Raw genomic sequence first — 21,189 nt, forward strand, 5'->3', positions numbered from 1 at the left:
AGGGCGTGCACCCTTCCTGAAGACAGTGGCTCCTGGGGGTGGCAAAAGAGCTTTATTTACACACTGACAAGGCTCACGGGGTGTCAGCTGAAGAAGTAGGTGGAACGCTTCACCTGCTCCAGGTCGAAGGCCCCTGCGGAGGAAGCAGAGCGGACGGCGTGGGTGGCGGGAAAGCCCCGCCCTGGCCCGCAGTTCGAGCCACCCTTGCGAGGCTGCCCACCCGCCTACCTGGCTTGGGCACCGCCTGCAGTGTCTCCTTCAGCTGGCTGGCCTCCAAGATCTTCTGGGGCCTGGGGTTGGAAGCAGGGTGGGGTGAGGCTGAGGCCAGGTTTTGGGGTGGGGGGGGAATCCAGGTAGTTGGGGTCAGGGAGCGCCTTACTCAGAGCAGAACCGCTTGACCAGGAATCTGGACAGGTCCTGCAGGATGGGCTCGCTGTGCAAGCGGACAAACTGCTCCCGGCACACCTGGGCAGGAGTCAGAGGATCCCCAGGGGTGATCAGGCAGGCTCTGGGCACCACCCCTACCCAACGCCCCAGTGTGGGGGCCCCACCCATGGGTGGACTGAGGCTCAGACTACGGGGGCACCTGGTTCATGACGGAGACATCAGCTGCGTGAGTCCAGTAACAGTCGTGCACAGAGACGAAGGTCAGGCCCTTCCTGTGGCAGAGCGGAGGACTCCTGAAGGGAGGGGAGCTCACAGGGCCACCCAGTGACCAGCATCCTGGCCCTGCGCTCAGCCCCCTCCACTTGAGGTCCAGGGAAGCCCACCCTCCTGCAGGCCTCGCCCCACCCCTCGCCCCGCCCCTCCCCAAACATCCTGGGTTAGGTATCAGTACAGGGGGAGGAAATGTTCCCAGAAGCCTCCTCGCCCCACCCCTGCCGCCCCCCACGCTGCTGTGGGAGCCTCAGCTCCGAGGGCGGCTACGAGGTCCCCTCCTGCCAGGGCCACCACCCCGCATCCTGAGCATTCCCAGCTCCCGTGGCCGGTAGATTCTGCTGGAACGACCTCCACGTGCTCCAGATCTAACCACACATCGCGGTGCCAAGAAATGCCCAGCAGGAAGGGGCAGCGCCCATGCTCGGCTCTCCCTGTCGGGCCACAGGAGGGGAGCTGCCAGGACCACCTACATTCGGGGCACACAGCCTCAGGGCCTCTACACAGGCCCCACAGACACAGCAGATCCACTCTGCCCAGTCCCTGCCCCCAGCTAGACCCAGCCTTGCCAGCTGTGCCCTGCTAGCCAGAAGACGCCCCTGGGAGGCGAGCGGCACCCACGCCGTCCGGAGACGCCCACCTGTAGCAGTGCAGGGCGGTGAGCATCATGTGGGAGGAGTCCAGCGAGTGGATGAAGTTGGGCGGGAAGCCGTTCTTCTGCTTACGTGTGTTGGGCTTTCTGAGGACGGAACAGGTGCCGGTGGGGGCGGCCCAGGGACACCCCTAACTGGCCGCTGTCTCCACCGTGGCTGCTCTCCAGACCCCCGGCCAGGCCCCAGCCCGGGCCCCCCACTCACCGGCTGATGTCTCCGTTGTGGGTGTAGGTGATGCTCTGAATTCCACCTCCTATTTGCTAAAAAGGGGAAGGGGCCGGTGAGTCCCACCCGAGGCCCAGCACGGTGGTGGTACATTGAGGTGGTGGTACACTGGGGTAGTGGCACGCTAGGATGGTGGCACACTGGCGCGGGATGGGGTGGCACACTGGGGCGGTGGTACACTGGGGTGGTGGTACGCTGGGGCACTGGTACACTGGGACGCTGTTACACTGGGATGGTGGCACACTGGGGAGGGATGGGGTGGTACACTGACCTTGACCTTGGAGTCCAGGCGATAGGGCTGGATGACGGGGACGCCCAGGGGTGTGACCCACTCCACCACAGAGCCCATGTGGGAGATGAGGCGGGCACTCTCGGTCAGCCAGTGCTGTGGGACACAGGCCGTCTCAGGGCAGGGGGCTCAGGCCGGGGATCCCGTCCACTTGCTTAGGGAGTCCTGGCCGAGCGGGGACAGGACAGGACGTACCTGGATGGCCCGGGTCCCCGAGAACATCTCCTGTAGACTCTTGAAGACCTGGCGTACGAGATAGTGAGAGGCCTCCCACACGAACTCCTGCAGAGGGCGGGCAGCAGGTGCAGGTCCTCAGGGGCTGGCCCGTTCACGCCCTACTCCCCCCTATTTCAGAGCCACTGAGGCCCAAGGCCTAGGGCCTAGCAGGGGGGCAGGGGAATGGGGCCTGGCGCCCACGCAGTCAGCAAGAAACGCCCAAGCCCTAACAGGCAGCCAGTGGTCTGGGGGAGCAGCCAGGGCTCCTGCTGGGAGGCTGGGTCGGGGGCACACCCGTCTGAGTTTTAAATGGCAGTGAAACCAACGTGTTCGCAGCGCGACATGCCTGGCGCACCTGGGGAAAGTCGCTCAGCTCCCGGAGGCGCTTCTCAATCTGCAGGCGCCCGCCATAGCGCGTGACCCCGTACACCACCGTCATCACCGTCTGCTTCACCACCTTGCGGGTGATGAAACCTTCCAGCACCTGTGCCACCCGCATGCCCCGCTGGGCGTCCTGCCTACGGAACACCTCCACCTGCACGGCGGGTGGGCCGGGGGCGCGGGTCAGCCCCGCTAGCAGCCCAGGGGCCACCAAGCACCCATGAAGCCCCCGCCCCAGCCCCACCACATCCTCAGGACAGGCCAAGGTGAGGGCACCTGGGGCCGAGACTCAGGGCTCACATTGCCCCCACGCCGAGATGCCCCCGGGCAGCAGGGCACACCCTACCTGCGCGGCCACGCCGCTGTACACGTCCTGCGGCACATCCGAGGGCTCCAGGTTGACGGAGGCGGCGCCCACGCTGTCGCGGCCCAGAGCAGCATAATGCTGCAGGCCGTTGCAAGAGCCGTCCTGAGGAAGGGGCGGCAAACGGGAGATGGAAGCTAGAGAGGCAGAGACGTGTGGGACCCCAAACCACCCCCCAGGTCGAGCCGTTCCTAGGGCCGTGCACCCCCCAGCCAAGTGCACCGGAGCCCCCGCACGCTCCCGGGAGAGACCAGGAGCCATGGCTCCCGCACACTCTAGGACCACCTCCAGAGAATACCACGAGCGAAGGTGAAATCTCACACCCTCAAGTCGAGCCCCAGGCCCAGTGCACACTGCACGGCCTCGGGGGCCAGACCCAGCTGGCTCACCTGATGGACGGGGAGGTGGGAGACATAGGCGGCAGGGTCGGAGGCGCGCACAGCGTTCGCCACCTCCATACAGCAGGCCAGCGTCTGCCAGGGTTCCTCCGCGCCCATCCACCACTTTCGGCCCTGCGGGGACAGCGGATGGGGGGCAGTGAGGCCCGGGCCCGATCCCTGAGCCCGCTGGGAGGCTGTGTTGCGGGGAGGTGGGAAATGGGGAGGAGACGCACACCCGTGATAGTGAACACGGGACGCATGTGGGCGAGAGACGGGGCGGTGGCTGGATGAGTTCTCCATAGCCACGGATGGAGGATGGGAGCTGCGGGTGGACCGGGCTGAAACAAGCGTGTCCGGAGCTGCCGGGGGAGGAGGGTGGACAGAGGACCTGGGGGCGCCGGGGGAGGAAGCAGCTCGGCGGATGCAGGGGAGGGGGGAACGTGGGGAACGCGGGGGCCCTGGGGCAGGGGAGAAGGGAGAAGCAGGACGGGCAGGGGGCGCGGGGGAGGAGAGCGGGCGGGGGACGTGGGGGCGCCAGGGGAGGGGGAGGGGAGGAGGAAGACGGGCAGGGGGCGCCAGGGGAGGGGGAGGGGAGGAGGAAGACGGGCAGGGGGCGCGGGGGCGCCGGGGGAGGGCGCGGGGGCGCCGGGGGAGGGCGCGGGGGTGCCGGGAGGGCGGGGAATGCGGGGGCCCCGCCCCTACCGTCAAGGGTTGGTCCGCGGAGTCCAGGATGTCATCCATCACCTCCTCCGCAAAGGCCAGGCGCTTCCGCAGCGGCTCCCGCTTCTTCAACCCCGTGAGATTGACCAGGTGGATCTTGAGCCAATCCAGGCCGTGCGGGCCGAGCGGGCGGCCCTGGGCGAACTCCAGCAGGGCCCGCGCCACGTCGCTGCCCAGGTGGTTGAAGTGCGGCGGGCAGGGGTAGGTGCGGCCGCGGAAGTCCATGTTGTGCGGCAGCCAGAAGACGCGGTCCCGCAGGTGCTGCGCCAGCGAGAGGCGGTACAGCGCCTCCGCCCGCAGGCTGTGCATCTCCCGGGCCACCTTCTGGCAGTGCGCCAGCTCACGGCGCAGCTCGGCCTTGCGGGCGGGCGCGGCGCTGTGCGGCAGGTGGGCCTCGGGCGGCTGGGGCGCCTCGGAGGGCGGGGCCGGCACGCCTAGCTGGGGGCAGCCCTTGGCCTGGAAGAGCTGCAGCACCAGGTCCAGCACGCGCCCGTTGACGCGCCAGGCGCAGTTGCCCAGTTGGGTGAGGGCGTCCAGTGCGCCATGCAGCGCGGTGGGCGGGCAGGTTTCCAGCAGCTCCTGGTGCTGCGTGGCGCCTTCCACCGTGCGCATCAGCTTGGTGGGGCTGAGCAGGAAAGCACCAGAGTGCGGCGATGTCCAGGGCAGCGGGGGGCAAAGCATGGGTACATCCACCGCCTCGAAGGTCAGCGTGGGCTCCGCGGCCTTCTCCAGCAGCTGCACGTAGGCCGGGTGCGGCTTCAGGATGCCGATCTGGGGTGCGACAGGCAGACGGGTCAGGGCCCCGGTGCTGGGGCTTTCCTGTTCCCACCCCTTAAACTTGGGTGAGAGGGGCCGGCTCCCCGGCCAACAAGAAACCAGTGTGGCCTCCCACGAACAGAAGCCACCTCCAGAAACGGCCGGACACCTGCATGGACACCCATGGTGTGTCCCGAGTCCTGGGAGGTACTGACGGCTGCGCTGAGATCAAGGCTCCGCCCAAAGGCGCCAACCCCATGGGGTCCCTGGTCCTCCCAGCGGGATGCCCCCCAGCTCAGGAGGGCACTGCCTGGCACCTGCTGGACGTTGCGGAAGGAATACACGTGGTAGAGCACGGGGACAAGCCGAGAGGAACGATGCGGCTTGTCCAGGCTGCATGGCATCTGCGTAGCCTGCACCAGCATCTCCGCCAGCAGCTTGCCCAGCTCCATCTGCACTGGCAGGGGCCAGGGCTGCTCCCGCAGGGCCTCGGGCGCCCCCAGCTCCTCCCAGTACTGCCGCGGCAGGCAGGGCTCGGGCACCTGTAGGACAGGGCGGTCAGGGCGCTGGGCACCGGGGCCCCTGAGCTAGATGCCCCACCGCCCGTGCCTGACGCCCGGTGGGGCATCTGTCAGCCCAAGCATACAGATGAACAGACTGAAGCTTGGGTGCAAACCCGGCTGCTCCAGGGAGGGAGAGCGCCCACCCACCACTGGCCCCAGCCAGGAGGAGAGGGGGTGCGAGCCTCACCTCGGCGTCGGAGGCCAGCAAGCAGAGGTACTTCCTGTAGTGGTTCTGCAGCGCCTGCACCTGGCCACTGACCCGCTGCCTCTGCACCACGTGCCGGCTGAAAGTGCGCGCACTCAGCTCCCGGGCCAGGGTGGTGAAGGACTCACCTTGGGCGGGCAGCGCCTGCAGGACCTGCGGAAGGCAGCCGTGAGTGCCTGCCCGCCCCGCCCGGGGACCCGGCCGCGCGGAGGAAGACGCACCTGCAGGAGCATCCGCACCACCTCGCGCTCGTCCAGCAGGCACAGGAAGGGGTAAAGTGAGAACCGGCCCTCGTACACCTCGCGCTCTAGGCGGTTCTTGGTCTCCCGCAGCGCCCGGCACAGTGCTTTCTCCCATTGGTCCCGCAGGGTCTTCAGGGTCTTCCGCTGCGGGGGATGAACGGGCCCGGTGAGCCCCGTGGCAGCTGGTGGGACCCAGGCTCACAGGACGGGGGTCACCGCAGCTCCCTGCAGAGACCTCATGGCCCTCAAGGTCCCTGCTGTGTGTTCCGGGTAGCTCCTCACCCCGGCCTGCCCTCTGCCGGCTTCAGCGTGCCTGACGCAGCCAAGAGCAAAAGCCCAGCTGCAGTGTGCGCAGAAGCACAGGCCAAGACCCAACCTCGGGACCCCACAAGTTTTCCCTGAGCGGCAGCCAGGCTGAGTTCCTAGGCCCTGCATGACCAGACCAGGGCATGAGCAATTCAACCGCATACACGGAGCTCAGCCCCTGCGGCGGACACGCGACCCCGGCTCAGCCCCTGCGGCGGACACGGGACCCCGGCTCAGCCCGTGCGGTGGACACGCGACCCCGGCTCAGCCCCTGCGGCGGACACGGGACCCCGGCTCAGCCCCTACCGCGTGCTTGACCTCCTTGCTTGGCAACGTGGGCTTCTCCACGGACACCACGCACACCCTGCTGGCCAGCTCCATGTGGAGCTGCTTCTCAAAGAGGCACTGCAGGGTCTTCAAGGGCAGGTGCAGCTTCGGGTAGGACACACGCCCATCCTGCAGGGATGGGGGTAGTGAGGTTGGGGGCTTGCCAGAGGGCGACCTGCCCTCCCAGGACCCCGAGACAGCATGGGTGCACGCGTTTCTGCGTCTCCTGCAAGTTGCTGGTGGCTATCGCTGACGCGGGGAAAGGCGGGCTGCGGGTAAAGTCAGTGCCAGCAGTGCAAACCAAAGGCCTTGACCCTCCTGGCCTCGACCCCTCTAGAAGGGACACTGGGCACCGTGCAGGGGGTGGCAGGGGCGGTGATGCTGGGAGCTGGCAGAGCCTGGGGAGACCGTTCACTGCACCCCCAGATGTTGGCTGTTTTCTCCTCAAACTCAGAACTGTATGAATGTGACCCATCCAGAAATAGATGAATTAAAAATAACAACTAAAGCCTAGCGCTTTGAGAATCAAAGACGCACGTCCACATAAAAGCTTGTACACAAACGTTCACAGCTGCATGACTCGCAGTCGATAAGTAGAAACAGCCCAACGTCCCATAAACGGACGAACAGACGGGCACGGCGCGGCCATCCACGCACCGGAGCATGACTCAGCCCTGACCCAGGTCGCCTCCCGGAGGCACCATGAGGACGTCACGCTCAGTGGGAGATGCCAAACACAAAAGGTCTCGCAGTGTGTGGTCCCATTTCTATGGAATGTCCAGAGCAGACTCATCCACAGATGGGGAGGGGATGGGGAGTGACGGGGATGGGGACGAGGCTTCCTTTTAGGGTGATGGAACATTCTAGAATTAGACAACCGTGACTACACTAAAATCGCTGAATTACACCTTTAAGAGGGTTTTATGGCAGGTGAATTACACCTCAGTAACAGACGAGCCCACTGCGTGCACCTGGCAGCCCCACTCAAACGCACTGCTCTCCTGTCACCCCACCCTCTCTCTGCGGCCCCCGACCACCTCGTCCCCCTGAGCCCACACCCTCAGGGCCAAGACCCTCCCAGCTCTGGGTCCTCCCATCTTCTCAGAGGAGGAAGGGAGGAATTCAGGGCCCAGCCCAGGTGAGCCCTGGGCACCGGGGAGGCCCATTGGTCTGAGCTGAGGCTCCAGGAACCCCCAAAGGGCAGCTATAAGGACTGAAGTCTGCCGGGGCCCACGTGGGCTCACCTTGGCATACACGTCCCTGAGCAGCTTGGAGGTGTTGACCGGGGGCGGCAGCTGCGGCGGGAGGCTGAAGGTGGGCTTCACCTTGTGCACGGCCTTCAGAACAGTGGCCCGATCCTCCTCAGACAGCAGAACGGCGGTGAAGAGTGCCTGCAGCTTCAGCCCCTCCTGGCTCATCTGTTCCAGACACCTGTGGTGCAGGCGGCCTGCTCGAGGGACGGGCCAGCCCCACGCTGGGCTTCCACAGACCCCAGGGGAACCTCGTGACCACCTCCTGCTAGCCTGCAGGTCTCGGTGTGGCTGTCAGGCCCTCTGGGGGTCCCCAGCCCCCAGCCCAGGCACCGTCCCAGATCTTAAAACCCTGGGAGGGACATGGTGGGGGGTGGGGGCCCTCCCGACACCACCTACCTTTCGATGGTCCCGGCGTCCTGGTCCTGCCTCCCCATGCACTGGAGGGCAGCCGCATAGGACAGCAGGTCCGGAGTCAAGCCGGCATCCTTCACCATGAATAACACATATACCAGCTCCTTGAAGGCACCCTGGGAGACCAAGCCAGGGTGAGGGTCTGGGGGGATGGCCCAACCTCCACATCCTCCCTGCTCCCTGGAGACCCCTTCTCTGTAGCCACCAGCTCAGCAGGGGACAGGGTCACCAGGCAGGAGTGGCCAGCTGGGCAGACCGATGCATCCCCCTGAGGTTCTGACACACAAGCTCCACCTGCAGAGGCAGCCGCATGGCCCGCCAGGTGGGACTGTGGGAGGTTCACGTTCCTCTGGGAGGCAGCTTGTTAAACCTCCAGATTTGTCAATTGTGTGGATCTTTTCAAAGGACTGACTTGGCTTGACTGTTCTCTGCTGTTTCTGCCTTCCATTTCATCGATTTGTTTTAATCTTTGTAACTTCCTCTCATCTACTTGCTTTAGGTTTAGTGACAGCTTCTTCTTCTAGTTTCCTAAGGTGAAAGGTGACGTATTTGGTCTGAGATGTTTCACTTTTTTTCCCCCCAAGATGGAGTCTTGCTCTGTTGCCCAGGCTGGAGTGCAGTGGCACAATCTCAGCTGGGCCGGGTTCTCTGCCTCCCAGGTTCCAGCACTTCTCCTGCCTCAGCCTCCTGAGTAGCTGGGATTACAGGCACACGCCACCACACCAGCTAATTTTTTGTATTCTTAGCAGATACGGGGTTTCACCATGCTGGCCAGGCTGGTCTCGAACTCCTGACATCGTGATCCGCCAGCCTCAGCCTCCCAAAGTGCTGGGATGACAGGTGTGCACCACCGCGCCCGGCCATCACCTTTCCGAATATAGGCATTTTGTGACTATAAATTACCCTGCGAGCACTGTGTCAGCTGCATCCCAGGACTTCTGACAGGTGGTGTTTTCATTTTCATTATCTCCAAGTGTTTTCGAACTTCATAGTTTACTTCTTCTTTGGAAATTTTATTTAATTATTTTTTTAGATAGAGTCTCGCTCTGTCGCCCAGGCTGGAGTGCAGTGGCGCAATCTCAGCTCACTGTCAACCTCCGCCTCCCGGGTTCAACCGATTCTCCTGCCTCAGCCTCCTGAGTAGCTGGGACTACAGGCACATGCCACCACACCCAGCTAATTATTTTGTATTTTTAGTAGAGATGGGGTTTCGCCCTGTTGGCCAGGCTGGTCTCCAACTCCTGACCTCAGGGGATCCACCCGCCTCGGCCTCCCAAAGTGCTGGGATTACAGGTGTGAGCCACCACGCCCAGCCATGTATAGCTTAAATATCCCCTGCAATTTTTTTTTTTTTCATTTAATTTTTGGCCAGGCACAGTGGCTCATGCCTGTAACCCCAGCACTTTGGGAGGCCAAGACAGGAGGATCACAAGGTCAGGAGTTTAAGACCAGCCTGGCCAACATAGTGAAACCCCATCTCCACTAAAAATACAAAAAAAAAAAAAAAAAATTAGCTGGGCGTGGTGGCTCATGCCTGTGCTCCCTCCACTAAAAATACAAAAAAAAAAAAAAATTAGCTGGGCGTGGTGGCACATGCCTGTAATCTCAGCTACTGGGAGCCTGGGGCAGGAGAATCACTTGAACGCAGAAAGCGGAAATTGCGGTAAGCCGGGATCTCACCACTGCACTCCAGCCTGGGAGACAGAAACTTTGCTGTCGACAGACTTGGAGACTCTGTCTTAAAATATACACACACACACATATATATATATATATAAAATAACATATATATATAATTTTTTTCTTGTATTCATTTTTCCTGACATCCCTGTTCTGAGCAATTTCTCCTTTGACCCAGTGGCTGCTTAAGAGTGGCCTGTAACTGTAACAGACTATTCCAAAGGGAAAAAAATTCCCTTACATCCTCCCACCCCATAGTCCTGCAGCTGAAGACATGCTGTGACATGAGGTGGCCACACACCAGAGACCAGAGACATGAGTTTTGGGGCATTTTTTTTTTTTTTTTTTTTTGAGACGGAGTCTCGCTCTGTCGCCCAGGCTGGAGTGCAGTGGCTCGATCTCGGCTCACTGCAAGCTCTGCCTCCCAGGTTCACTCCATCCTCCTGCCTCAGCCTCCCAAGTAGCTGGGACTGCAGGCGCCCGCCACCACACCCGGCTAATTTTTTGTATATTTTTAGTAGAGACGGGGTTTCACTGTGTTAGCCAGGATGGTCTCATCTCCTGACCTCGTGATCCGCCCGCCTCAGCCTCCCAAAGTGCTGGGATTACAGGCGTGAGCCACTGTGCCCGGCCGGTTTTGGGGCAGTTTCTAAACAACCTCTGTATGGTAGACCTCACTGGCCACACATAGTCCTTAAATTGAAATATTCAGTTCTTCCCTTTCACCAGCTTCAAGTGTTCAGTAGCACACACAGCTGTTGGCAGATGCGGAAAATTCCCAACATCATAGAAAGTTCTACTGGATGGTGCTGGTTAGAATACGTGGCCGGGCGCGGTCGCTCACGCCTGTAATCCCAGCACTTAGGGAGGCTGAGGCGGGCGGATTACCTGAGGTCAGGAGTTTGAGACCAGCCCGGCCAACATGGCAAAAGCCCGTCTCTACTAAAAATACAAAAATTGGCCGGGCGTGGTGGTGAGTCCCTGTAATCCCAGCCACTCAGGAGGCTGCGGCAGGGAGAATTATTGAACCCAGGAGGCGGAGGCTGTAGTGAGCCGAGATCATGGCACTGCACCCTAGCCTGGGCAACAGACAGAGAGTCTATCTCAAAAAAAAAAAAAAAAAAAAGATAGAAGCAATGCCTTAGCCTGGCTAACATGCTGAAACCCCACCTCTACTAAAAATAAAAATTAAAACAATTATCCGGGGGTGGTGGCACACGCCTGTAATCCCAGCTGCTCGGGAGGCTGAGCTCGCAGTCCAGCGACATCCAGGACTGCTGGCCACCCCGGAACGCTGGGAGAGGCAGGAGGGGCCCCTGCTAGAGCCTCTGGAGAGACTTCGGGTCTGCAGACATCTTGATTCCAGACTTCTGGGCTCGTGCTAAGAGTGCGTTTCTGCTGTGCAAGCCGCCAGGTTTGGGACACTTTCGTAGGGGCCGATCCCAAAAGCGCCCTGTTACAGTGTGGGCTCTCTGCCCAGGGAATCCAGGGGGCTTGTGACCTTGGAGGGGAAAATACACGACCCTCATCCTCAGTCCTCCCGGAGTCTGGCGCCCCCTGCAGCAAGGAGGAACCAGGCAGCACGCCGCCTCCACCTCGCGGTAAGAGCACTGCGGACTTCACCGCAAGACTGGCCCCACCTGATCCTGAATTTCGCTGTTTGATGCGTTAATAAAGAAGCACATCAAGTTCTCTACCACGAATTGGTCTTAATATTGCGATATCTGTATTTTAATATAATAGTATCCCATGTTTACCCAAATATTAAGAGAAGCTTTTACTGTTGTTTCTCAAATTAGGGCTGAAGGATCATGGGGGGGGAGAAAGCTGGGAACGTTTGCTGCTTTGAAAGGGTGTGTAAACAACACCCTCCAAAACAACCAAGAGTTCCGAGGAGAAACTTTGGCCGGATACGGTGGCTCACGCCTGTAATCTCAGCTCCTCGGGAGGCTCAGGGGGGCAGATCACGAGGTCAGGAGTTTGAGACCAGCTTGGCCAACACGGTGAAACCCCCGTCTCTACTCAAAATACAAAAATTAATCGGGGGTGGTGGCGGGCACCTGTAACTCCAGCTACTTAGGAGGCTGAGGCAGGATAATCACTTGAACCTGGGAGGTGGAGGTGGCCATGAGCCGAGATCGCACCACCGCACTCCAACCTAGTAACAGGGAGAGTATGTCCCAGAAAACAAATAAATAAACAAACAAAAAGAAAACGGCAAGGGAAATTGGAAAATACTCCAGATGAACCACAACGAAGATGGGTGGGATACATCTAAAGCTGTGCTCAGAGGGAATGCGGCGCCAGTGAACACCCACATTTCACACAGAAGGATCTCAGCACAGCAGCCCGACCTTCCACCTCAGGAAACCAGAAAAAGGAGCAAAGTCAACCCCAACACCAAAGCCTCATCCTGACGAGGGCTCTGCAGGCTGCCCCCCGACGAGGCCAAAAGCACCCCTGCCCAGACAGATTCACGAGCCCCGAGAAAGAACGGAAGGAAATGCTCAAGGCATTAGCAGAATTTCTCCCTACTTTTTTGGTCATTTTCAAAATTTGAGAGTCACACGTGATTTGTATTTGAAAAGCCTAAAAGAATTATTAAAATAAAAAACAAAGGACTTGAACCTGGGGGCTAAGAGAGAAAAGTCCAGTCTAAATGAGGGCAAGTTCCTGTCTCCAACGACCAGGGCAGGTGGCCCGGCTCCCGGCTGCACTCACCTGCCGCGCCCAGCCAAGCATCACGGCGTTGTACATGTCCAGCGTGAGCAGCTTCCGCTTCTGCCGCTGGCCGTGGTGGACGACCAGCAGGTGGTGGGCGAGGGGCAGCTGGTCAGTGAGCAGGCAGCACTTGAAGAAGGCCAGGAGCCTCTGCTGCTGACCTGAGAGCTGGGCCTGCGAGTGCTGCCCCGACGGGGCCTGCTCCACATCGAGGCTCAGCTTCCCAGGGGCCTCCTGCAGCAGCCGGGCCAGCTGCTCCTCCCAGGGGCTCTCGGGGGCCTGGCGCGTGCAGTCCTCCAGGCACCCGGCCATCTGCTTGCTCAGGAGCCGGGGCTCCACCTGCAGGCGCCTGGTCAGCGCCTTGAACTCCCCGCTCTGGAATGGCATCTGCAGCTTCGCCTTCAACCGCTGCATACGCATCTGCTGGGTCCGCTTATCCTTCTCCAGTATCTTTGCCCAGCGGCCACAGGGCACCGGGGTGGCATCCTTGGCCCCCATCTGGACCTTCCTGGGTGGCTGGAGGCTACCATCTCCACTGCCACATTCTGGGAGCCGCGCCACATCCACCCTGTTCACCACCACCTCCGACACGCTCTCAGCCTGCAGCTGCCGCACCCGCGCCTGGAGCACTGTGAGGGGCAGAAGGCGAGGACATGAGAGGGACCCCCTCCCCATTCGAGCACCCGTCTCTCTGGACCCTGAGCCAGGCCAGGAGGTGCAGGTGGCTGAGCTCGCTGGGACCCAAGGCGTGAATTCCTCATACTTGCCAACAACGTTGTAAGGTCTGCCCGCTGCTTTCCAGACACACGCACCCCACCACCTCCGCACCTCCCCACCCGAGCCTCACAGAACTCAGCAGCCCTAACAAGCTGCCACCGAAACCTGCAGCACCACGTCTCCCCGGTCACTGGCCGCTCAGACCCTCCAGGTGCACAGGCCCAGAACCCGGGGTCTGTGACAACTCCCTCCGTCCACCTCTCAGTACCTCCTCTGGGCTTGCCTCCAGAATCTATCCAGGTGGCCCCCGCCTCCCCTGCCCCTCTCACTGTCTAGCTCAGGGCCTCTGCACAGACTCCCAGGACCCTGAACCGCCCACTCCCTGGCTCAACCATGGCCTGCAAGTTCGCACCCCGCCTCAGCAAGACCCCCCCAGCTGGTGGAGCTGCCACACACACACTCCTAGGCTCCCAGTGTCTACACCGGTGGACGCTGAGCCACTAGCTCGCAGGGAAAACGCGGCTCCTGCTCGTGCCGCCTCAGGTTGCATTTTTGCCAACCAATCAATGCCTAAGTGTTCTGTATCTCTTTAAAGAAGCCTTGTTGGAAATCTATTGCTGGCCGGGCATGGCGGCTCACGTCGGTCATCCCAGCACTTTGGGAGGCCGAGGCAGGAAGATCACCTAAGGTCAGGAGTTCGAGACCAGCCTGGCCAACATGGTGAAACCCCGTCTCTATTAGAAATCCAAAAAATTAGCTGGGCGTGGTGGCATGTGTCTATAGTACCAGCTACTTGGGAGGCTGAGGCAGGAGAATTGCTTGAGCCTGGGAGGCAGAGGTTGCAGTGACTCAAGATAGCGCCATTGAACTCCAGCCTGGGCAACAGAACAATAATCCATCTAAAAAAAAAAGACTGTTGAAATAAGCCGGGTACAGGGCCGCGCACCTGTGGTCCCAGCTACTCCGGTGGCTGAGGTGAAAGAATCACCTAAGCCTAGGAGTTCCTGGCTGCTGTGAGCCGTGATCAGGCCACCGTGCTGCAGCCTGAGAGACAGAGCAGGACCCTGTCTCAAAAAAAAAAAGGGGGGGGGGGACCCAGGTGTCCAGATGTGGTGGCTCACGCCTGTAATCCCAGCACTTTAGGAGGCCGAGGCAGGCGGATCACGAGGTCAGGAGATCAAGACCATCCTGGCTAACACGGTGAAACCCCGTCCCTACTAAAAATACGAAAAATTAACCGGGCGTGGTGGTGCGCGCCTGTAGTTCCAGCTACTCGGGAGGTTGAGGCAGGAGAATTGCTTGAACTCGGGAGGCGGAGGCTGCAGTGAGCCAAGATCGCACCATTGCACTCCAGCCTAGCAACAGATTGAGAATCCGTCTCAAGAAAAAAAAAATTGCTGAAATAAAAAGACAAGCGTGATGTCCGCCTTCAGAGTGCTCCAAAACTCAGGAGATACTTTTAGGATTAACAGTTGAGAGCTTTGTTTTGTTTTGTTTTGTTTTTGAGATGGAATTTCCCTCGTTGCCCAGGCTAGAGTGCAATGGCATGATCTCGGCTCACCGCAACCTCCACCTTCCGGGTTCAAGCGATTCTCCTGTCTCAGTCTCCCCGGGTTCAAGCGATTTTCCTGCCTCAGCCTCCTGAGTAGCTGGCACTGCAGGCGTTCACCACCATGCCCAGCTAATTTTTGTATTTTTAGTAGAGACAGTGTTTCACCATGTTGGCCAGGCTGGTCTTGAACTCATGACCTCTTGATCCGCCCGCCTCGGCCTCCCAAAGTGCTGGGATTACAGGCGTGAGCCACCGCACCAGGCCTCGGACCCTTGACCTCTTGATCCGCCCACCTTGGCCACCCAAAAGTGCTGGGAGTACAGGCGTGAGCCACCGCACCAGGCCTCGAACCCCCGACCTCTTGATCCGCCCACCTCGGCCACCCAAAAGTGCTGGGATTACAGGCGTGAGCCACCGCACCTGGCCAGGTTTTTTCCCTTTATAAAGGTTCTCCCGCCTCTCCCTTCCCGGCTGCCTAATGGACGCAGACAGGATGTGGGACAGAAGCACCGGCGGGAAGCAAGCACAGGGAAGCTCCCACCTCCCTCCCACACCACCAGCCAGGCCAGGACGAGGGCCTGCCACCGCTGGAGCCTGGGCTGTCCCTCCCAAGTTTCGCAGTCATCCAGTCTCCATTAGGCGCCTACCCCCCAGAGCCAAGCCAGGACAGCTGAGTCAGTTCAGGGTTCACATCCTGGCTCTGCACATGTGGCCTTGGCGGCGGGGCCGGGGGGGGGGTCTCTCCAGACATAATCTTGGGCCTCACCTATGTCCCTGGAAAGTGGGAGCACCTGGTGGGGTTCTGGGGAGGGGGAATTACGAGAGCTCCAGGAAGGAGCCTGCTCAGCAAGGACAGGGCCCATGAGCGGTGCAAGAGATGTTTCAGCAACGCCGTCTGGGCGTGTCCTGGGACCCGAGAGGTGGAGACCGCCCTCAGCCTGTCTCAGAATCTGAGCCTTTGCCTTTTCTCCCGGCAGCAGGGAGCGGACTCTCCTCTCCCGGGCCGCCGTGGGGGTCGCGCTCACCCTCCAGCAGCTCCACGTGGCCCCAGTCCTTCCTGCGGTCTTGGTCTTGCTCCTGGGGGCTGGCGGACGAGCTCCTCCTGGGGCCGCAGACGCCACCGGCGGTCCCTGCGGGAAAGACGAGAGCGGCTGAGCGGGGCCGGGCGTGTGGGCGGGGGCCTCCATAAAGGCAGAAGCCGAAGGGTCGAAGGGCAAAGGAGCCCTAAACGCAGCGGAAACTCTCGGAGCACGGGCTTAAGTTGGAAAGAAACTAAGACAGCGAAGGTGGAAGGGCCCCGCCGCGGCGAACACGGGCGCGGAACCGCCGAGAGAGGGTTCCTCGCACTCGAGGTGCAGCAGGTCAAAGGTTAAGAGCCCTAAACACCACACCTGGGGTCAGGAGGCTGCATAAGAAACCACGAGTCAAAGGTCAGACTGCACGGAGGAGCCTCAGTCGAAAAGCGGGCAAGGGCGAGTGGAAAGCGGGGCCGGGTCGGTGGGCTGCGCACGCCCAGGTGCAAAGAGGCAAAGGTCAAAGCGCCAAAGGCCCCGGCCGCGCGGGGAGGAGCCCACGCCGTGGCCCCCGGGCTGCCTGGCCGTCTCCCTTTGTGTTACCTTCTTTGCCGGGGAGTCCCGGGCGGCCGCAAGGCCGTAGGGCTCGTTTGAGCCCCGCCGCTCCGCGGCCCCAGCAAAGTGCCGACATTACGCACGCCGCTCCAGGCCACCCCACCGGCCCGCGCCTGCGCATGCGCCCGCGCCGCCTGCCGGGAGTTGTGGTTTCATGGTCGACGGAGGCTGCGAAGGGAAACCCCAGCCGGAAGTAGACTCCCAGGATGCAGCGGAGGCGCGAAGGCATGCGCCGGTGGACGCTCTGATTGGTTCCTCCTGCTGTTTTTAAAGGGAGGGGGCGGGACAGAGCTGTTGCCGTGGCAACTGGGAGGCACTCTCAGGCTGTTTTCCCGAGGACCTCAAATCCGGACTTTTTTTCTGTTTTTCTTTCTTTTTTGGTTTTGTTTTGGACGCGTTGTGGCCCAGGCTGGAGTGCAGTGGCGTGATCATAGCTCAGTGCAGCTTCGAACTGCTGGGGTAAAGAGATCCTCGCCCCTCGGCTTCCCAAAGCGCTGGGATTGCAGACGCCGCCACCGTGCCCGGCTTTTTTTTTTTTTTTTTCAAGGCATACTCATCTAATAACGAGGACAGCATCTGCAATTTAGAGATTCCTGTCCGCAACCTTCATTGCTCCAACGACAACTTTTGGGTAAGAGTCATTAGGATGCCGTCTATCATGGAGGAAGCTGAGGCTCAGAGAGGGCCACCAAGTTGCTGGAAGACACAGCACGTGCGACCTCAGGGAGGCTGCAAGGAGAGAAAGCCCCAGTCCGCGAGACTCCCAGCCTCCAGCTTCAGTTTACCCTCCAATCCCCAAGCCCTCAGGGGCAGGAGCCGAATGGAGCGGCAGGCTTGGATTCACCTGCTAAGTGGGGTGAGGTCAAGGGAATGAAATAAACCTCGGAGCCTAGAGCCTGCCCTGGTCTCCGCGTGATCCTGCCTAGGAGGAGCAGGGCGGGAGCTTTAGAATGGAACCTGGAAGGTGTGCCCACCTGTGTCGTTCAGCCGGGGCAGCAGGCCAGAGGCGGGAGCGCCTGCTGTGGGGCAGTAGGCTTGGGAAGGGTGAGAATAGGAATATCTGGGGGTAACTGTGTTCCAGGCTAATATCCCAGTTGCAAAGGGGAGCTGGTTTGGTGGCTCAGGCCTGTCATCCCAGCACTTTGGGAGGCTGAGGCGGGCGGATCACCTAAGGTCAGAGTTCGAGACCAGCTTGGCAAATACGCAAGCATGCCTGGCAACATGGCAAAACCCCGTCTCTAGTAAAAATACAAAAATTATCCGGGGGTGGTGGCGGGCACCTGTAATCCCAGCTACTCGGGAGGCTGAGGCAGGAGAATCGCTTGAACCCGGGAGGCGGAGGTTGCAGTGAGCCAAGATCTCGCCACTGCACTCCAGCCTGGGTGACAGAGCGAGAACCTGTCTCAAAAAAAAAAAAGTGCAAAGGGAGGTCAGTTCAGTGCCTCAGGCCTGTAATCCCAGCACTTTGGGAGGCTGCGGCGGGAGGATCGCTTGAGCCCAGGAGTTCCAGACAAGCCTTGGGCAACCGAGATACTGAGACCCAGTCTCCACCAAAGGAAAAAAAGAAATTAGCCAGGCATGGTGGTGCACACCTGTGGTCCCAGATACTCGGGAGGCTGAGGCAGGAGGACTGCTTGAGCCCAGGAGGTTTAGACTGCAGTGAGCTGAGATGGCGCCACTGTACTCCAGCCTGGGTTGACAGAACAGGACCCTGTCTCAAAACAAAACAAGTGCAAAGGCCCTGAGGCAGGAACAAGCGTGGACAGAGGAGCAATTTGAGCAGAGTGGGGCTGGGGAGAGGGAGCAAAGATGTAGCTGGGGCTCAGTTAGGGGGCCTGACCACACGGGGGCTCGGGGGCCTCAGCTCAAGCTATCCTCCATCCCCAAACCCTGGCACTTCAGTTTCCCCATCAGCCCAGAACGAGGACTCGACCTCACTCTGGAAGGGCCTGGCAGCCTCCTTACAGCACATTCCAGACGCTGCTGCCGACGCCTGCGTGAGCGCACTGATGCCACCGGCTGGGAATGTTTTCGACAGACGGCAGCACCCTCCCTCACCTGCCTCAGTCCACCTCAGGGTGCCCCAGCGGGCTGTGACCTCAGACCTCACCCACTACTGGGGTCACCTGCCTGGCCCTGAATCAGCCAGGCCTGGTGTGCCAAGACCTACAGACACCCCCTGCACCCCTGCAGGCTGGCAGAGCCAGAAACTTGGGTGGAAACCGACTTCTGAACTATTTCACCATTCCTTATGCGTTAGTCTTTTCTTTTATTTGATGAGATCCCAGCACTTTGGGAGGCCGAGGCGGGCGGATCACGTGAGGTCAGGAGTTTGAGACCAGCCTGGCCAACATGGTGAAACCCCGTCTCTACTAAAAATACGAAAATTAGCCGGGCATGGTGGCCTGTGCCTGTAATCCCAGCTACTCAGGAGGCCAAGGGAGGAAAATCACTTGAACCTGAGAGGTGGAGGTTACAGTGAGCCAAGATCGCACCACTGCACTCCAGCCTTGGGCAATGTAGCCAAACCCCATCACTACAAATAATACAAAAAAATTTTGTTGGCTGTGATGGTGCCTGCCTGTGGCCCCATCTACTTGGGAGGCTGAGGTGGGAAGATGTAGAATTGCTTGAGCCAGGAGGCAGAGGCTGCAGTGAGCTGTGATTGAGCCACTGCACTCCAGCCTGGGCGACAGAGCGAGACCCTGTCTCAAAAAAAAAAGAACATAATCTGGGTTTTGGAATAAGACAGCAGTTTCTGAAACAGCTCATTGCCCAAATTCCAGCCTCGCAACTCTGTAGCCGCCACCACCCCCCAGCCCCACCATTTATTTTAACTACATCTGTCTCCACCACTCCTGTATTAAGTAAATGCAATATTGGCTGGTCATGGTGGCTCATGCCTGTAATTCCAGCACTTTGGGAGGCTGAGGCAGGCAGATCCCCTGAGGTCAGGAGTTCGAGACTGGCCTGGCCAACGTGGTGAAACCCTGTCTCCACTAAAAATTCAAAAATTAGCCGGACGTGGTAGTGGGTGGTGCCTGTAATCCCAGCTACTTGGGAGGCTGAGGTAAGAGAAATGCTTGAATCCAAGAGACTGAGGTTGCAGTGAGCTGAGATCTCGCCGCTGCACTCCAGCCTGAACGACAGAGCGAGACTCCGTCTCAAAAATAAATTAATAAATACAACATTAATTATTTTTCTTGCTTAAGTTTTACGAAGAGACTTAATATCACCATCAAAAGTGGGAAACCATATATCTGGCCGGGCGTGGTGGCTCCCGCCTGTCATCCCAGCACTACGGGAGGCCGAGGCGGGCGGATCCCCTGAGGCCGGGAGCTGGAGACCAGCCTGGCTAACATGGTGAAACCCTCATCTCCAATAAAAATAACAAAAATTAGCCGGGCATGGTGGGTGCCTGTAATCCCAGCTATTCAGGAGGCTGAGGCAGAAGAATCACTTGAACCCGGGAGGCGGAGGTTGCAGGGAGCCGAGATCACACCACTGCCCTCCGGCCTGGGCGACAGAGCGAGACTCTGTCTAAAAACAAAACAAAACAAAACCCAACCAAGCAAACCCCACAGAGTCGAGAATCGCTAGATGGAAGGGGATGGCCCAGGTCCCTGGAGCCCCTGTGACAAATTACCACAAACTCGGTGCCTTAAAGCAACGTTCATTTTCTTACATTTCTGGAAATGAAAAGTCCAAAATCAGGACTGCGGGGCTGAAGTCAAGGTGTGTGGAGGCCTCGCTCCCTCCAGAGGCCCTGGGGCTCCTTCCTGCCTCTCCCAGCTTTTGAAGGCTCCAGGTGTGCTTGGCCTGCGGCCACATCACTCCCGTCTCGGTCTCTGTGGTCGCACTGCAGCCTCCTCGTCTGCCTGTGTGAAATCTCCTCCTGTCTCCGTATTGTGACCGCGTTTAGGATGCCCCAGGACAATCTTCTCCATATCGTTCAGATCTTCATGGTGTCAATATATTGAGACTCTTTTTCCAAATAAGGCAAATGTCACATTCTAGGGATCAGGGTGGGGACTTACCTTTGGGCCAACCACAGAGGCTACAAAGAGGAAGACACCACTCAATACAAAGCGTGCGCCAGCCCAGCCCTGATCGGTGTTTGTTGTTGTTGTTTTTGTTTGAGACAGAGTCTCGCTCTGTCGCCCAGGCTGGAGGGCAGTGGCATGATCTCAGCTCATTGCAACCTCCGCCTCCTGGGTTGTATAGATTCTCCTGCCTCAGCCTCCTGAGTAGCTGGGATTACAGGCGTGAAAAGGAGCAAGGCTCTGCCCCAGCCACAGCGCGGATGCACCTTGAGGATGTCATGCTCAGTGAAAGACGCCAGACACAGAAGGACACACAGTGTGTGATCCCCTTTATATGAAATGTCCACAACAGGCCCATCCACAGAGGCAGGAAGGGGATGTGTGGGTGCCGGGGGCTGGCAGAGGGGATGAGTGACAGCTGATGGGGCTTCTTCTTGCGGTGATGGAATCTTCTGGAACTAGACAGTCGTGGTGGTTGCACAACTCTACGAGGTACTAAAATCACTGAACTGGCTGGGTGCAGTGGCTCATGCCTGTAATCCCAGCACTTTGGGAGGCAGAAGCAGGTAGATCACGAGGTCAGGAGTTTGAGACCAGCCTGGCCAACATGGTAAAACTCTGTCTCTACTAAAAATACAAAAATTAGCTGGGTGTGGTGGCAGGTGCCTGTAATCCCAGCTACTCAGGAGGCTGAGGCAGGAGAATCGCTTGAACCAGGGAGGCAGAGTTTGCAGTGAGCCGAGATCGCACCACTGCACTCCAGTCTGGGTGACAGAGCCAGACTCCGTCTCAAAGAAATAATAATAAAATAAAATCACTGAACTGTACAGTGTAAGTGGGTGAATTGTGTGGTATATGAGTGATGTTTCCGAGGTGTCATTAAAGAAACTCAGACGCCTG

At 59.6% G+C, this 21,189-nt stretch overlaps 1 protein-coding gene and 1 long non-coding RNA gene across 24 annotated transcripts, besides 4 other annotated features; one reads left to right on the forward strand and one right to left on the reverse strand.

The window, feature by feature from the left end:
- Positions 31-16,347, reverse strand: POLRMT (RNA polymerase mitochondrial). 23 transcript variants are annotated; one of them, NR_176425.1, is made up of 21 exons: positions 16,010-16,347; positions 15,644-15,748; positions 12,350-12,978; positions 7,934-8,064; positions 7,529-7,715; positions 6,264-6,413; positions 5,631-5,795; positions 5,392-5,562; positions 4,959-5,183; positions 3,868-4,656; positions 3,175-3,297; positions 2,768-2,890; positions 2,396-2,575; positions 2,020-2,106; positions 1,807-1,920; positions 1,515-1,570; positions 1,298-1,396; positions 587-1,091; positions 380-465; positions 229-290; positions 31-133 (listed from the first exon to the last, which is right to left on the reverse strand). NR_176425.1 is itself a non-coding variant. In NM_001407813.1 (21 exons), the coding sequence occupies exons 1-21, from the start codon at positions 16,320-16,322 to the stop codon at positions 84-86; spliced, it is 3,651 nt and encodes a 1,216-aa protein (NP_001394742.1). In that variant the 5' UTR covers positions 16,323-16,347; the 3' UTR covers positions 31-83. The 23 variants fall into 23 exon arrangements, 22 of the variants coding, with proteins under 22 accessions (NP_001394742.1, NP_001394740.1, NP_001394739.1 ...); NM_001407813.1 differs by having other exon boundaries at positions 587-659; positions 7,934-8,022; positions 16,235-16,347; NM_001407811.1 differs by having other exon boundaries at positions 587-680; positions 7,934-8,022; positions 16,235-16,347.
- Positions 12,613-13,296: an enhancer, noted in NCBI's record as "H3K4me1 hESC enhancer chr19:629803-630486 (GRCh37/hg19 assembly coordinates)". NCBI's record gives its function as "activates a minimal SCP1, AML or CMV promoter by ChIP-STARR-seq in naive H9 embryonic stem cells {active_cell/tissue: H9 hESC(naive)}" and the evidence as "EXISTENCE:reporter gene assay evidence [ECO:0000049][PMID:30033119]".
- Positions 16,131-16,290: a silencer, noted in NCBI's record as "silent region_9611". NCBI's record gives its function as "represses an Ori minimal core promoter by ATAC-STARR-seq in GM12878 lymphoblastoid cells {active_cell/tissue: GM12878}" and the evidence as "EXISTENCE:reporter gene assay evidence [ECO:0000049][PMID:35858748]".
- On the forward strand, positions 16,274-21,116 carry LOC105372234 (uncharacterized). Its single transcript, XR_936226.2, has 2 exons — positions 16,274-16,705; positions 16,794-21,116. It is a non-coding gene; the product is annotated as an uncharacterized LOC105372234 (long non-coding RNA).
- Positions 16,301-16,560: a silencer, noted in NCBI's record as "silent region_9612". NCBI's record gives its function as "represses an Ori minimal core promoter by ATAC-STARR-seq in GM12878 lymphoblastoid cells {active_cell/tissue: GM12878}" and the evidence as "EXISTENCE:reporter gene assay evidence [ECO:0000049][PMID:35858748]".
- Positions 19,871-19,930: an enhancer, noted in NCBI's record as "active region_13567". NCBI's record gives its function as "activates an Ori minimal core promoter by ATAC-STARR-seq in GM12878 lymphoblastoid cells {active_cell/tissue: GM12878}" and the evidence as "EXISTENCE:reporter gene assay evidence [ECO:0000049][PMID:35858748]".

The sequence above is a fragment of the Homo sapiens genome, chromosome 19 (assembly GCF_000001405.40).
Source record: "Homo sapiens chromosome 19, GRCh38.p14 Primary Assembly".
NCBI classification, from domain to species: Eukaryota; Metazoa; Chordata; class Mammalia; order Primates; family Hominidae; genus Homo; species Homo sapiens.

Bases quoted from the DNA above. Each gene is read 5' to 3' on its own strand.
- POLRMT (NM_001407805.1), bottom strand. From the start codon at position 16,322: ATGTCGGCACTTTGCTGGGGCCGCGGAGCGGCGGGGCTCAAACGAGCC. The intron at 8,065-12,349 runs GTGAGTGCAGCC...TTGGTCTCCCAG, and splicing joins TGCTTGGCTGGGCGCGGCAG to GGTGCCTTCAAGGAGCTGGT. The intron at 134-228 runs GTAGGCGGGTGG...CTTCCTCCGCAG, and splicing joins GCAGGCGGTGCCCAAGCCAG to GGGCCTTCGACCTGGAGCAG.